The sequence below is a fragment of the Homo sapiens genome, chromosome 15, assembly GCF_000001405.40.
Source record: "Homo sapiens chromosome 15, GRCh38.p14 Primary Assembly".
Taxonomy (NCBI): domain Eukaryota; kingdom Metazoa; phylum Chordata; class Mammalia; order Primates; family Hominidae; genus Homo; species Homo sapiens.
The window spans coordinates 51,206,415-51,222,806 of NC_000015.10; the positions used below are offsets into that span (position 1 = coordinate 51,206,415).

The following is a 16,392-nucleotide window of genomic DNA, read 5'->3' on the forward strand; positions in this document are numbered from 1 at the left end:
AAACCCCTAGCTTATCTCCACTGGAAATAACTATGTGAGGGACTGAATATTTCAATCATATATGGAAACCTTGCCCGAAGAAGAAATTGCATAATAACTGTCAATCATAATAGACTTATTAGCATTTGCCAATTTGGCCAAAATGTAGGCAATTATATGGCCATGATGCAGTCTGCCTTGCACACTATGTGTTTATAGAAAATGACTATTTTTTAAATCCACTCCTTATTTTTTAATGCAGTGACAAATCTGAAATGAACTGAAATTGTGCGAAGCTAGAAATGTTCCTAATGGTGAGGTAATGGCCAAATGGAATCTGATAATTTCCTATTGAGGCAACTGTTGGAATACACTCATTAGTACTACTACCACTTTATACTAACTAAACTTTTACAGCACTTTCCCCTATCTCTTTTGAGAAAGCACCTTGAAACACATTTGGGAAGTAGGGAAGGCAGGTAAAATCATCCATATTTCATAGATGAAGAAACTGAGATATTCCTTGCTTCAAATTCCTTGGGCAATGAGATGGGGAATGAGCAGCTCTTAAAAGGAGTTTACCCAGCATCACAATGGCAAGAGAGCTGGGGAAGTGGAATGAGACTCCTCAGCCTCTCAGCAGGTTAGTCCTGCTGCAAAAAGATGGCGTGAGAGAGGGGACAAGGGCTTTGGAATGAGAGGTGGACTCAAATCCAGGTTGCTCCTTTACTAGTTGAGTGCTTGGGTGCAAGTCCCCAAACCTCCTGGGACTCTGTCTTATCAATAGGCTGCAGGGATTACTGAGGCATTCATACTGATGGGAAAGTTGTCGTGAAACCTAATATGAGATAATAGAAGCATCTGGCACATCATCTCCTGCCGCCCTCTACTGCACAAGAAGAGGTTTGAGATCACGATTCAGCCTAATTACTGAACTTGTCATTATCATGCCCTATGCTCAGTGAGAGGCTGCTGTGTACCAGCACTGTGCTAAAGGGCTTCACAGAAATTATTTCTTGCAATCTTCACAGCAATGCTTATGAGATAATTATTATCCCCATTGGATTGATGAGAAAACTGTGATATGGAGAGATGAAACAGCTTGTCCAAAGCATATTCTTACAAAAAGGCAGGGCTCCACTGCCTCCCTATTCATGGAGTCGCAGAGCTGAAAGGAACTTTAAAAATTACCTGGACTACAGGCACTCAGCTGCCATGCCTTGTAATTAAGACCTTCTTTGCAAGAAATGTTTTGCTAACAAATTAAAATACTGAGGTTTGTGAAACATTTGCTTTTGGTTATAAATCACAGTGGATTCAAAGTTATTCTTATGATAATTATCATTTTCTTATGACTCTCATTTGTTTTGCACTTCGAAATGTTTTCTTGATGGGAGAGAGCAGGGTATACTTAATGGGCTGGACTTGATGAATGGGGGTTGCCCTGTCTAAATACATTCCATTGTCTTGTTGACCTGGTAGAAACAGGGTTATGGCCATTGACTTCCTAGAATAGGCCAATACCTGCTAAAAGCTGCAGAAAGGAAATGAGGAAGTTGAAACAGGTAAGCCCTGACAGGATTGATCCCTGAAGGGTTAATCCCTTGACTTTGTTCTTTGAGCTAAGAGCAACTGAAAGCATCATACGCTCCATTTGACTTACTACTTTGACAAGGTTTAATTAGTATGTCTTTCTGCAAGAATAGGTGAGAGATTCAGTCCCAGAGCCCAGCTGATATAGATTGAAAAGGGTCCCTCTATCCTTCAGTGGGCCAATGGCACATGCTTTTGTGGAACATTAGCATCATGAACAGTGAAAGGTGCTGCTTAGGAATAAAAAGTGGCAATTTCCAAATGGTATTTCTCAATAATGAGAGAGCTTGCTGGATGTGATTATTTTCCACTTGAGAGGGGGAAAATGGGATCTCAATGAAGGCATGGGGGTGTCTAGCATGCCCAAAGATATAGAAGGGTACAATTGTCCTTACAATTTGATAATGATAGAGCCCTTATATGCATGCATTTCACTGATAATTTACACATTGCAGTTCTTTCAGAACTGATGAAAATGGAATCCACAGCACATTGCACATTCAAGAGTGACGGTTAAGCACTTAACAATGGGGCAAAATTCTGAAGATAATAGAATTTTCAAAATGTGTTCATCAGCCTACTGAAAAGCCAATGGTATTCCAGAATTCCAAGGCCAAGCCTCTACAAATATATGGGGTTTGTCTATACAGGCTAAGCAGAGTGAAAAGTTGAACAACTACCCAGGTAATTTGATTCTGGGAGAGTTTGCTTGGATCGTTCAAACCAACACTTCTCCTCTTCCTGTCCCTCCCCCATGTCCCTCACTCCCACCCCCCACCCTTCCACTCCCAGTTTTCCCCCAGGATATTTTTGTACCTGCAAAATAGATATCTATGTACAGCTATATCAAACATGCATTTCACTTTGACTGTGTAGACATAGACATTGGCTTCATATATACAGATAAAATACACATAAATGTCCCAAGAGTATTGGATGGGTGAAGTACATGGATCCAAAGTTGGGCTTCTTCCACCATGCAGCTCCAGCCAGAGGCAACGTAAACAGAGTGTTACTAATTTTCAAGTGAATTAATTGGGACACATTAAATTGCAAATCCTGGCCTTGCTTTTAGGGGTCTAAGTTATTTGGATGATTGTCTTGACCTGACTACATACGTATTCAGGTACACAGGCATAGTCCATATATTTTTAGGCCATATAGATGATCCAAATAATTCCAAGCTCAAATAAATGTTTTATTCTTTACTAATGTCCATTCTTGAATTCTTGGAATACCTACCTCTTTATTTGGTTTCTGCATCAGTTGGGAGTATCTCTGAGCAGGAATGTCTATTCAGAACTGAGCTTGGGAGTGAATACAGGGAGACAGGACAGGGAAATGGGGATGGAAATAGATTACAAAAGAAAGAAAGTAGCTCCTGCTTTCAGGGAGATTACACTGTCATCTTATACTCAGCTTATTACTAGACAGTAGGATGAAAAGAACAGTCAAATGGGATGGCAATGGATTCAATGACAAATATTTACCTATTTGTAAATAAGTTTAATTTTTTAGTTTTTCAATGACATTCAGTAGAGATAGTTATATTGGCTATATAACACAAGTAAAGTGGTGTTTGGAAAGTTCCTCCATTCATTTGATTTCCTTTAGAAAGCGAATTCCAAGGTGTGCAATTTATCCATGACCACATACAATGATTCAATGAACTAGATAATGTTAAATCTCTCAGGTAACTGTTAAATTTTGAGGTAGGATTAAAAAATACTTCAGGGGTTCTACTCTGACCACGTTCTTTACTGATCTGTTGCCCTTGGCTTTGGGGTCATGGGAAGAAAGAGGGAGAAAATGTCGAGGGAGAAGGATAAGGGGATGAGAGGAGTACCCCTTAGAAGTTTGAGCCCATTGGGTTGGGACTTTTCCTCCCCCAATCACTGAAGCTGTAGTAAGAGCAAATCAATGTCACATTTACAGTTATCTCTTGGTTAGCCACACTAATTGAGCTAAGCAAAAATGGGAACATGCCAAAAGGATTTTTATTTGAATTTGAAGTGCATCATGTGAATTTTTTTTTCTACAGCAGACACAGGGCCCTAATAATACTTAACCCAGGCTATTACTAAATTAGTTTGTATTACTTGATGATTATATATAGTTTGTATTACCTGAATCTACAGGTAACACAATGAATTGTAGCACAGGCAAGTGGCTGAGGCATAAATCGACAGACTGGGAAAGAATTTCCTCTGATTAAACTTTTGCCACAGACAGATCATATGTAGACAAACAGGAATTAATTGGGCTTAATTCACAGCAAGGGTCAAATGCTGAATTTCTAAGCATTTCTCCAAAGACTATGAATGTTGCTTTTCCACCTCCACAGAAAACAAAATTAAAGTACTTTAATTCACACTAGCAGGTGGGTTTGGCCCCAGGTACCCTGACATTGGCCTGGTCTTTCTAATCAACTTGAGTGTTTCTGCCCCAGACATAAAAATCCCCTTGGGTTGAGGCAGTAGAGCTCTACTGGGGAACCAGACATACATTTTGTTAATGAAGGCCTATCCTTCTCAAAGCACATTTGGTGGAATCGGGTCTTTATGGATACGGTTTCTTCACCGACTATTTCTCCCTCAAACTCTTGGCCTCTGCTTTTTCTCTTGTAGCCTGGTTCTCTGGTGTGAACAGGAGCAGATGACAAATAGCACCTAGCTTGGTGACAACCCATAGGAGGTATGCCTATAAAATGCCATGGGCCACTGAGTGTTCACTGTGAGGATGACACTATTGGCAAGGATGGATGATTTGTATGTGAACTACTGATGAGAAATGCTCCAGAGTGGGTACTGACCAGCCTTCTCTAGTGTTCCAGACACCTGTCTGAGTTTCTTGGGGTAAAGATCATTTCCAGCATGTTTTTAGTCTCATCTGGGTGCAAGGACAAGTCGTGTATCTTCTGTATGCTCTCAACACACTGTCCTTGCAATGTCTTCACGTGGAATCGTCTCAGAAGTGTAACGAGGATGGCTTTCATCATCACCATGGCGATGTACTTTCCTGCACAGCCACGGGGCCCAAAGCCAAATGGCTGAAAGTACCTATAAGGAACCTATGAAAATGATCAGACAGTTAGCCAGAATATTAAAGGCTAGAGTCACTCAGTCTCTGTTTGATTCATTCTGAAAACATGGGTCAGTCAGAACACTGTTTTGGGGTTATCAGCTACAATGCCCTCCATCCCCTCAGATGAACAACTGGAACTCAAGCCCTTTCTATGTCCTATTTCATTCACCCCCTGTGTTCTGACCCAACCTCAGAGAGTCCCCAGTTTTGCCTTTCATGTGCTGGGGTAAAGCAATGCAAACCAAATCTTATTACAGCAAGTGTTAGTATAATCAGGTAGCTCTGTGGAATAGCCACAGATTTACTATTGTTTTATAAGTCACTAAGGCAAAGATTATTTTTGTGTGACACCATATAAGAGATAAAGGCAAGCAAGGATGTAGATTCCTGGCCTATTCAGTGCCAAGCATCTAACTATTTGTAGTTATGCAGAAAATTAATGAGGACCACAGCTGTCTTGTCCACATTTGGACTTAGTGCCTGGCATATAGTAGATGTTCAATAAATTTTTGTTGATCAGTTGACTGATTTACATAGCATTATCTGGATTGCCCGTGTAGAAACAAAATGAATTAGAGTACTGAATTATTTAGCATCATGTTTCTACACCATATGCAAATTGAAAAAAGGGCACTTAGGGAACTGCGTACGTAATTCAGATTGAAAAACATATTGCCTAAAATTTGACATAATGAAGGTGGAATCTGTAGTACACATCAATTATAAAAAAAGAAAAACTGTCTCTCTTCTAATTATTAAGTCCTATTTAGAATGGGACCTACTGCTCATGGGGCCATTTGATGAGCCAAAGGCACTTTGCAAAAACCAAATCTTTTGGTCTCATTTGATTTTCATCTGAAGCAGTAGTGGACTTTCCTTTGCTCAGATGGTGCTATAGCTGAATGTGATGACATGATGACAAAGTTTAAATGGAAAAGTAGGTTGGTTGGGTTAAACAAAAATCACTTCATTTTAGCCAAATGAAGGGCCCAGCTTTTTCACATTTTGACCTATTTTGTGGCCACCATGTAGATACTTCTTAGAGCTGGAGACCCAACATCCTTGAAGGCTTGAGGATGAATACGGGAGCCCTGCTCCAAGCTAGGGGACGTGTGTGCTCCTGGTGAGGTGGCAGAGGGAATGAGTAAGAAAAATGAAGTATTTATGGTGCAAACACAAAGAACCAGAGAGGATTTAACAGTTGACATTTTCAAGAGTGGCACACTCAGTTTTAAGGAAGGGCTCTTACATTCTTTGCAAAATTTTCAAGAGTAAATTCATTGGGTTTGGGGAAAAACTCGAGTCTGTGCATCCTTCCAATATTCAGGATAATGTTTGTCCCCTTTTTCACTGGGTAGCCATCGATTACATCATCTTCTAAGGCTTTGCGCATGACCAAGTCCACGACAGGCTGGTACCGCATGCTCTCATAAATGAAGTTTTCCATCACTTTTAATTTTTGTATATCATCAATCTTTATGTCTCTCTCACCTGTGGAAACAGATAAAAGGAACAAAGAAGGTAATGTTAGTTTCCATCTGTGATTGGTATTAAAGCTTCTATTTTTTTCCACAGAACCGTTTGCTCTTGGTTGAAAAAAATTGTGGCTCTAATTCTAATGCACACCAGCAACCAGGGCCAAATATGTTATGCTTGGGCCACAGAGTGTTTTATAAAAATTCAGATATGAAGCCAATTACCTTAAAAACTGGTGGAGTTTATAGAAAAGTCTGAATGTCCAGAAAATTTGGTGATGCTGAACTTACATTCCCACATAGCAATAATGGGCTGACGCTGAGTGGCCAATTACCTGTTTAGAGGGGGCATACATCATACAGTTCCATCTAGACCACACCCAATCTGCTTCAAACATTCATCTCATGTGCCTGCTTTCTGAAATCTTTGAGTTTTTGTTCCCTACTCTAAATTGTAGGGGACATTCATTTCCTCTCTTCACTTACGAGCAAACTGGCACCACAACCATCCCAGAGATGATGCACAGGCTGCTGCAGAGTCAAAGTGAGATGGCAGATTTGATCTATTTCAATGAAATTTTCTCTTCTGGTTACCTGTGCAGTCATCTGCCCATACATGTCACTGATAGTCCCTCTGCATCTCATCAAGAAAGACCTGCAGTAGAGTGACAAGGATGTTCTCCCCACCACGACAAAATAGGTGCCTCAGATCAGCCCTGGGTGAGCTGGGGATAGATGGACACCCTCACTGTCTCAGATTAGCCTGACACTGGTCAAAGAGACTTAGATTATTCCCAGACATGGTAAAGCTTCAGAGATGCCACTTTTGCAGGATGAAAAATAGCCCAGGGTCCTGAGGCAGCCCTGTCTCATATACAACGAAGCCACTGAGGAAAGGTCTAGTTTGGTCAGAGTCTTCTCATGGCCCTTCCTCTTACATACTGCCCTTGGCACACTCAAGGGTCTAATGGGGCCTGTATAGCTGGGGTTGGGAGGTAGAAAAGAAGATGATGGAGAAGGTGACCAAAGGTGCTCACTAGGAAGTAGTTAGCGAGTCTGTGTGTGGCACACAGGAGGGAGCATGGACGCTTGCAAATGGCTCTGCTGCTTTTCCATCTTTGCAGAGGCCTTTTGAAGTGTCAGGGGAACATTAACATGTACACGTACATTTCACCTCTCAAATAAATGGTATTCAATATGTATTAAAGGCTTATGGTTTCTCTGAATGCCCTCCTTCGGTCTCTCTTTACTGTATTGAGCTTGTTTTCTTTTTCCCACCAGACCATGAGCCCCGTGAGTGCAGGGGTGGTGTTGGCTTGTTCAAGGCTGTAGCCCTGCACCTGGCACAGAACCTGAGAACCTGCTAGGAGGCACTCAAGAAAACATGCTGGAATTTGGATTCCAGATGTTATTCTGTATCCTTGCTATCTACCTTGCCTGGAAACTTCCCACCTGTGTGAGGCATCTGCAGATCCCTTCTCTCCCATATTTAACCCTTCGATGAAATTTTCCCTTACGTTTAACTATTTCAAGGAGCACTCCAATGGTTTGAAAAAGATGATGCCCTTCTACAACCAAATAACTTGTTTTGCAGGGTCTGTGTAAAGTCAAGAGAGGGAAGTCCACATTCTGTGATCTCTCTTCACATCTGTAAGAAATGTGTTCCTAAAAGATTACTTATGTGAAGGAAGTGTCAAATGAGGAATTCTGCTTTCTCCCAGAAAGCAAGTTTGATTTCTTTCAAAGATGGCCTTGTTTCTGTAGAAGAGTGGAGCAGGATGAAATTGAAGCAGAGACAGAGTAGTGAGGCGGTAGAGTTGGAGAAGACCTGAGTGTGGACCTGGAAGCTCCCCTGCAGAGGGCAGGGGAGAGGAAGGGGCTAGCATCACTGGATTGGAGTGGAGAGGGAAATGTATCACTACCCTGTCTTTGCTGTCATCCTCTCCTCTTCCTTCTGCCACAAACTGGAAGTTCATTTGTGAAGGGGCTGCTTGAAGCCCAGAAACAGTGCTATAAATGATAGACTATCACTTCCCTGGGACGATAATTTCCCTGGGAGAGTCCACAAAAGTCTTTTGTAACTGACAAGGTAGGCAGAACATTGTATATGATCCCATGTTTTTGTAAAATGGACAAATCCAACCATAAATATGTGTTTGTGGGCAAATAGAAAAAGATTTTAGCAAATACACAGCAAACTATTAACAATGGTTGCCACTGGAGAGGGGAGATGAGGCTGGAGAGGAGAGCGGAAAGGATTGGGGGATGTCACTTACTGCTTTACACATCATTCTGTGATTTAAATTCCTCCCAATGAGCATGCATCATTTTTATGATTAAGAACACAGAAAGAGCTATCTTTTCCGTCTATCTGGTGTAATCAAATGTGACAGAATGTCTTGCTTTATTGTTTGGAGCAAATTATAAAAAATTTCATGTTTGATATCAGATTCTTAGGACATAAGAAATGGACATTCAGAAGAAATTGTTTTTAAGATGTATTATTTATTTGATAAATTCTTACCAATAACAGTCTGGATTTCCTTTATTATTGCCTCTTCAACATTAGGGTGCTTTGCAATGAGAAATAGCATGAAGAACAAAGAGACAGACATGGTGTCAGGAGCTGCGATCAGCATTTCCAATATGCACTGGTTCACATTCTCTCTTGTCAGGTCACCACGTTTCTGAACAATTGGAAGATGGGAAAAATTTGGAAAAGTGAATCAAAGTTTCAAAAAATGAGGGGAGGTGACACTCAAGGATCAACAACCTCAACAAAATGAAATCATAGAAACCACATGTCTCTGTGATTGACTGTGGACATTTTACATGACAATCTTTAGCTGAAAGATGAACGATTAGGCCGACTGTCTATGTATATGTAGTGTCTTTGGCCTCCCCCAACTTGTTTTCATATTTTATACTGTTACACAGAAGAGTCACAATCTTAGCAGTCAGTCTTACTAGAATGTTCCAATCTTAAAAGCCTTACTGAAATATCTAATGTGTGGGCTATTTGGATTGGGATTACAGAACTGCTAGAGAAAGTATTTAAAAGCAGAAATATGCAACAGTTACAAAAGGGGATCTTTACACACCTCTACACAGTCATAACATATGTGGCATGGGAATTACAGTTAGTTCAGGTCAGTACCTCTGCTAAAATCAACTCAGTGGCAAAGTCCATACATTCTTCCAGTTTCTCTTCTGTGGAAATCCTGCGTCTTTTTTCTGCTATCAGAACTTCTATGGCATCTTTCAAATCCTTGCTGGAAAAAAAGTCAAAATATTGTCTATTTTTACTCAGTTTAGACATCTAGCGAAACAGATTTATTTGCCATGTATTTAGGTAAAATGATCTGCTTTAATTGAAAACATTGGTGCTTATGAGTAAGTGAATTACTATTTTATTTCTTCATAAATACCCTTAAATTACATAGACCCTACACTTCATGTTAAGGTGCCAGAGTTAGCTAAGATTTCTGGATACTGGTAGCGAAATCAAGCCTGTGACTTCTAGTTAAGGGTTAAAAATTGATATCAAAAGGCTAAATCTAACAATGTTTTCCAATTTCTGATTTGGCAGGCACAATGTTTAAATTAAAAAAACAAAAACAAAAAAACCTGTGAGTGCTGTCAGGTGCTCTTCAGTTTGCCACAGGAACCTCCATTCCCTTGTCTTACATTCCCATAGCCTGCTTTTTCTTTTTTTCTTTTAACTGAGACAAAGTCTCAATCTGTCACCCAGGCTGGAGTGCAGTGGCATGATCTCAGCCCACTGCAGCCTCTGCCTCCTGGGTTCAAGCCATTCTCCTGCCTCAGCCTCCCGAGTAGTTGGGATTACAGGCACCTGCCACCACGCCCAGCTAATTTTTTGTATTTTTAGTAAAGACAGAGTTTCACCATGTTGGTCAGGTTGGTCTCAAACTCCTGACCTCAGGTGATCCACCCACCTCGGCCTCCCAAAGTGCTGGGATTGCAGGCATGAGCCATTGCACCTGGCCCCCATAGTCTGCTTTTATTTGCCTAGTCCTGAAGACAGTTGAGTTTGAGATTCCTGTTCTAAACAGTAAACTCCAGTGACTAGGTATCATTCTTGATATTTATTCTCATGCCTTGTTAGTTTCTGCCACATTGTAAACACTAATATGTGTTGAATGAATTACCAGCTGCATAAATATGTATAGGCATTTTGGCAGTGTGGTTGAAAGAACACTTGGACGGGGTGGGGTCAGGTCCTAGTTCAGGTTGTTCTCTTTCTATGTAAGATACTTTAAGTCTCTGGGCCCTACATCCTTTTAAAGTGAAGGGATCAGACTGGATGAAAAATAAAGTCACCTTAATCTAAATTCAATTTTTCTTATCTCTGTCCTTAAGTGTATGTGTTCTTTGTAAGTGTATTGTTCCCTTATCTCAGGGAACAATGTTCTGTATTACGTTAAATGTACAATAAATCCATCTTCCAAATTCTAATTGACATGTTCACCTATACACTTAAATACCCTACTGATCCACACATTCATCAAATGTTTGCTAAGCATCTCTTATATACAAAGAACAGATATTCACTCAGCTGGGCTGTGGTGCCCTCTTCCTAGTAGGCTGAGAATGCTCATAGCATTCCCATCTGGGCACTAGCCCCAAATGGTCTGGGAGGTGTTGGAATGCCCCAGCCTCTAAATTCATAGAGAGCTCCTTGAGGGAACTGCAGAAACCTAAGAGAATCCGTTATACAGACTCATACAATAAATTTCTGTGGGTCCAATGGCCAAGACCAAGGCTAAACTAATGACTGAGAACTATGTAATGAACTCTCCAGACCACCACTACTGCCAACAACTCTGATCACAGGGAAGAGATGAATCTTTTATCTATTAGTTTTCAAGTCACAATAAGCTCTGGTGGAAATGAAATGTATAAAGAACCAAGTGTCTAAAACATTCACCTAGTACTTATCAACCATGAGAGAATAAACAAAACAACATCAAGTCGGCTTCTTCTCTAGAAACTAATATTATCGAATTTCAAAATCCACAGGTAGAATAAAGTCAGGTCTTCAGACAAGCTTGGGGACATTTAGAGATGGAGAACTTGAGATGGTTAGGAACATCTGAGGAAGATATGAACACAGGAAAGGGAGAAACTAACATATTTAGTACCCTCTATGTGCCATGCTCTATGCTAATTGCCTTACTTATATGATCTCATTAACCTATGCCCCTACTCTAGAAGATAGGTTATATCTTATTTTAAATAACTTCCCAAGGCCATTAGAAACAGGACACAAAACAGGAGTTCCTGTTTCTAGATTCCACAGGCTTTCCACTGGTGGTTAGAGGTAGCAGTGTTTAGTGACTGGCTACCTGTACTCTACAAGCCCATTGATTAGCCTGTAGGCCACTGGGCATTTGTCCAGTTTTCTGCTGGATGATTCTAAGACCAAAACAAAGTCATTTAATGACAATTTCAGGACCCCCAAAACACAAGATACATAATTTCAAAAACCCACACACATTTTATTGAAGTTAATTGTACTCATTAAGAAAAAATTCTATTGAGACTATTGTCAGTTCTTACAAGTTGAATTATGTTAAATTCATTCAAAAACAACACAACTATAAATTGATTCTGTAGTTCCAGTTTTTTAGTTGTGCAAAGATAATTTTGACAGATATTAATGACAGGATCAGTCGACCCTTCTCTTCAACTCAAAATACACTAGTGTCCTAGTTACCAAGCTGAAGCTCCCAGACCACACACTCAGCCCCCTTGCCGAGAAGCTGCCCAGCCAAAGGCTTCATTTACTCTCTGGTCTGGCCAAATGCAGCCAAATTGCTGTAAAAAGTGTTTCATCAGCAACTTAATCAACAGCTCCCTTGTGGGCTCTAGAGAGCAGAAAAGTTACCTGAGAGGCCAAGAAAAACAGCAAAGACACAAGGGAAAAAAACCAATCCAATTGTACTCATAAATCTTCCAAAGTTGTATTACTTACACAGACTTCTCATACTTTTTGTATAGCCAAGAAATCTTAAAGAAGATGTCTGGTTTGATGAGGAGAGCTTGCCATGCATCAAAATAACCTTGGATTTTAACCACGATAGCACTTTCTGTAGGAAAAAAAAACACACATACACAAGAAAGAGCAGTTGAGCAAAATGTGAGCCTAAGAAGGTTGCTCTGAGCAGAAAACATTCCCTGCAGATTCTCCTAACAGTCTGGGGGTTCTAAGCTCAGCAAGATTCCATCTTCAGTAGGAGTTTTAGCCACGTGAATACCACTAGACAAATCAAGCACTGATTTGTTCTCCTTGCCATCCAAATTGGCCTACTTAACCAGTGAGTTGCCAGTTTTCAAGTTTGTGTTTTCAAGTTTTCAGCCTAGAATTTCACATATTCTCCTTGGGCTGAGCTTTCAACTAGCTCCTGTTTCTCTGTACAAATGGAACTAGTAATTATGGCTGTTATGGCCTTCACTCTGGTACCTGGGAGTGTAAAAAGCAGAGCCTGTTAGGTGGCTAACAACCACATTTTAACTTCATTTGGTGCTGGGTAAGCAGAGCCATGAAGTGGACAGTTTATCTGGATTATACACTTAATAGCTTCTAATCATGTTCTCATGGTGCTTTATTCATTTTTCCCCCATAACACTCATCACATAGCTTTCATAGTTATTTATATTCAGTCCAGAGTGTAGAATTCATCTTGTGTTCTTTAATGCCTTGTCCTAAGCCTCACATACAATCAGCTCTTAATAAATGCTCTTTAATTAAATTGAATACTAGAGGAAATAAACCCTTATTTTTTCAAATTATACCAGATAATATACAAAAGAGAGAACAGACATATATTTCCAACTGCTAAATACCAGTCACCATGCTAGGCACTTTGTGAAAGAGATTTTTAATTTCATCTTCATATTCTTGCCATGGGCGTTGTGGTGTCATCCTTTTGCAGTGGAAGAAATTGCAATTCATAGAAATTCGGAAGCTTGCCCAAAACCATACAGCCAGTGTGGCTGACAGGCAGGCCCTGAGGCTGGAGCTGCTTCTGTCTGACCTCAGGACCATGTCCTTTTCTCTTTTCTTGCACTGGGTCCCTTAGGCAAATTGAGAGTTTAACAAGGATCCCTGTGAAAAGGGATTATGTAACTCTGTGGGTTGCACAGGTTTGCCAGCATCATAGTCTGCATCCAAAAATGAATGGAGAGATTTACAAATCCTTTTATATGATCCTTCCTAATGAGGCAAGGCTAGAGGGGGACCTGGAAATCTAGACTTTTAAAATACACGCCTGTTTCACTTTAGAAGTGATGTCTGTAGAACAGGCACCCTGGGAGTGGCATCCCTGCCTGAAAAGAGATCAGGTGAGAAAGTGTGACTAAAACTTCTTCAAGTGATTGTGGGCTCCCATCCAAATGGCCATCAGATGAAGTGTCTCCAGCTCTTGTATGGAGTAGCTGGAGTAGGGGAGATGCGGCAATAGGGAGGGCTTATAGCTTGTCTATGTGCCCAAGTGTAGTATACCAGGTAGCATGTGTTCCAGTTCAGCTGGTTGGGGCAAGTGTTAAAAGTACGCATTGTTCCTCCGCCTGGAGTGTTCTTCCCTCATATCTGCCTGTGGCTTGTGGCCTCACTAAATTCGAGCTATGGTCAAATGTCTTCTCTGCAGAGGCCTTTTCTAACCACCCTCTCCATGACATCTGTGCCCACACACACTGTTGCCCTCCTTCACTTCCTGTCCTCTTGCCCTGCTTCATTTTGCCTTCAAGGCACTTATTATTGCCTAATATTTTATTAGATATCTATGTCTTTTCCTGTCCACATCACTCACTGGAATGTAAGCCCCTTGAAGGCAAGAATTTTATCTGTCTTGCTTACTGTTATGTCCCCAGAACCTAGAACAGTGCCTGGCATAAAATAAGCAATCAATAAATGTTTGATGAATGAATGTATGAATCAATGAACACTGGTGTAAGTTAATTCAGGAAAAGTCACATTGAGTTGTACATACTTAATGCCAACAGTAGAATGGAATTAATCCAAATGATTAATTTTCTATTGATACATAATGGATATACATATTTAGGGGTAACTGTAATATTTTGATAAATTTGTATAATGTGTAATAACCAAATCAGGGTAATGAGGATATTCATCACCTTAAACATTTATCTTTTCTTTATGCTGAGAACATTCAAATTTTCTCTACTAGCTACTTGGTTGTACATAGATTATTATTTATTTTCTTCACTACACTGATTTTTTGAACACTAGGTCTTGTTTCTTCTATCTGCCTGTATTTTTGTACCCATTAATCAACTTCTCTTCATCTCTTCTCTCCCCACTACCCTTCCCATCCTCTGGTAACCACCAAACTACTCAAATGATTAATGTTTGTTTTTTGGTGGTGGTAGAGTTGCATGCACATGTTTTTTTTTTTTCATCAGTAGAGTGATTTGGGGGGATTTATAGGTTTTTAGGGTATATTCACTACTAGGGTTACAAAATGTATGAAGTCACAATATGAGTTATGGATTTAAGAATCCTGTTTAATAATAAATTCTGTTCCTCTTGAGGCAATGTAAGGCCAATGCTTATGGATAAGAAGTAAAAACAAAACAAATTCTATTATTCAAGGGCATAATAAGCATTATGTCAACTGTATAAATATTTAGTGGTAAATAATGTTCTAAAAGACACCTGAATGGGCTTGTGAATTTTTCTTTGTGTACATGTATTACTACCTTATGCACAGACTACTAAAATGGAGACTAAAACATTCTTTAAGAGTAATACATAATATAAATGACTTTAAGAAGAAAACAAAAAGGGTGTATCAGAAAGAATGCCAATTCTTTTATTCCTATACTTTCCAGGTTAGTGTGTGGATAAAGGTCACAATGGCAATAAAAAATGTAACCCATAGAAAACAGTGTAAAACAATTAGATACAAGTCCAGTGAATTCCATTCCTGTCAGGTGTTTGGTCATTAGGTTAAAAAGTTATCAAATAATTCAATGACTTTTGCACAATGGCACAACTTTTCAAGAACTAGCTGAAATATTGGCATTTGTACTCAAGTTGCAAATTGGTTTAATCCTGCCAAAATAAAATCAAGTTCTATGAGTTTGACATGAGCATGCACATGTTTTAATATTCATTTCTGTATCATAGTGCGGAAAGTAGTCTTATGAGTGAGACATCTTGTTAAGGTTATAAATAATAAATGGCAAACATGTATATACAGCAATTTTTAATATTGTTTGGCACACATTAGATACTACGTTAATGGCAGCTAATATCGTCATTTCCATCAGCATCAGTATCACCAGCAATATTGACATTTTTATCATATAGGCACAATGTTTTCATGTTTAGTAGCTTTGAGGGAGGAGTGTGTGTATATATGTGTGGGTATGTATGTATATATGTATGTATATATCATGCCCAAAAGAACAACTGGAAATGGTTAAATATATAAAGTTGATTGGTGGTAGGATATGTTAATAACCAAACGAACTAATCACATTTGTTAAGTTTCAACTGTGGGTAGAATTCTATTTCCTAGAGTAATGAGGAAAGATACAAAAGGCTAGTAGATGCTGGCCCCTACTTTATGGAAATTTATATTTTATAAGTGAACAAAGCAGAAACACTAGGGAAAAAAACGAGGAGTACTTAGAAATGTTTAAACAAGAGCAATGTAGAAAATGGCATGTGATTCCTTTGGTCTGTTATCCCTCCTAGCTCCTTGTTCAGTAAAGGACAGATGGTCAAGATGTGAGAGTGAAAATTTCAGTACCGTCCAAAGGGATCCTCAAGAAGAGCGTGTTAGAGGTGTCCAGCATGACACGACGCAGAAGGGTCAACACGTCCACATAGCCCGATTCATTGGTCACCTCCTCCAACCTGTCCAGATGTGTTTTGAGGGATTCAGCACAGACTGTGACCATACGAACAAGGCCGGGGCCTGACAGAGCTGCAGAGTACACATCAGAGAATCAGCCATCACGAACTCCAGGGCACACACACAATCATGCCATTTTGGCTTTTTATGTTGGAGCTTAATTGTCCACAATTTTTAATTTAATAATTGGGTGGAAGTTTTCATAATATTTTCGTATGCTTTTCTGTGGTCTCCTAATTTTACATAAGCATGTACTATCCTATGGTTAAGAATGAATGAACGGAAGGAGATAGGGACAAATATTATTTTAAACAAACTATTAAAAATTAAACTTTTTTTCATGCTCTAGCCAG

General features: G+C 39.7%; 1 protein-coding gene and 1 long non-coding RNA gene across 12 annotated transcripts in view; one reads left to right on the forward strand and one right to left on the reverse strand.

The window, feature by feature from the left end:
* The window catches only part of MIR4713HG (MIR4713 host gene), a 256,425-nt gene that overhangs the window by 168,927 nt on the left and 71,106 nt on the right, over positions 1-16,392 (forward strand). The gene's annotated exons all lie outside the window — the stretch shown is intronic.
* The window catches only part of CYP19A1 (cytochrome P450 family 19 subfamily A member 1), a 130,540-nt gene continuing 115,790 nt past the window's right edge, over positions 1,643-16,392 (reverse strand). For all 11 annotated transcript variants that reach the window (NM_000103.4, NM_031226.3, NM_001347248.1 and 8 more), the window contains 6 exons: positions 15,935-16,111; positions 12,127-12,241; positions 9,289-9,403; positions 8,656-8,818; positions 5,906-6,147; positions 1,643-4,642 (listed from right to left, as the gene is read on the reverse strand). In NM_000103.4, the coding sequence (NP_000094.2) occupies positions 4,394-4,642; positions 5,906-6,147; positions 8,656-8,818; positions 9,289-9,403; positions 12,127-12,241; positions 15,935-16,111 (1,061 nt within the window). In that variant the 3' untranslated portion in view covers positions 1,643-4,393. The remainder of the gene's footprint in view (positions 4,643-5,905; positions 6,148-8,655; positions 8,819-9,288; positions 9,404-12,126; positions 12,242-15,934; positions 16,112-16,392) is intronic.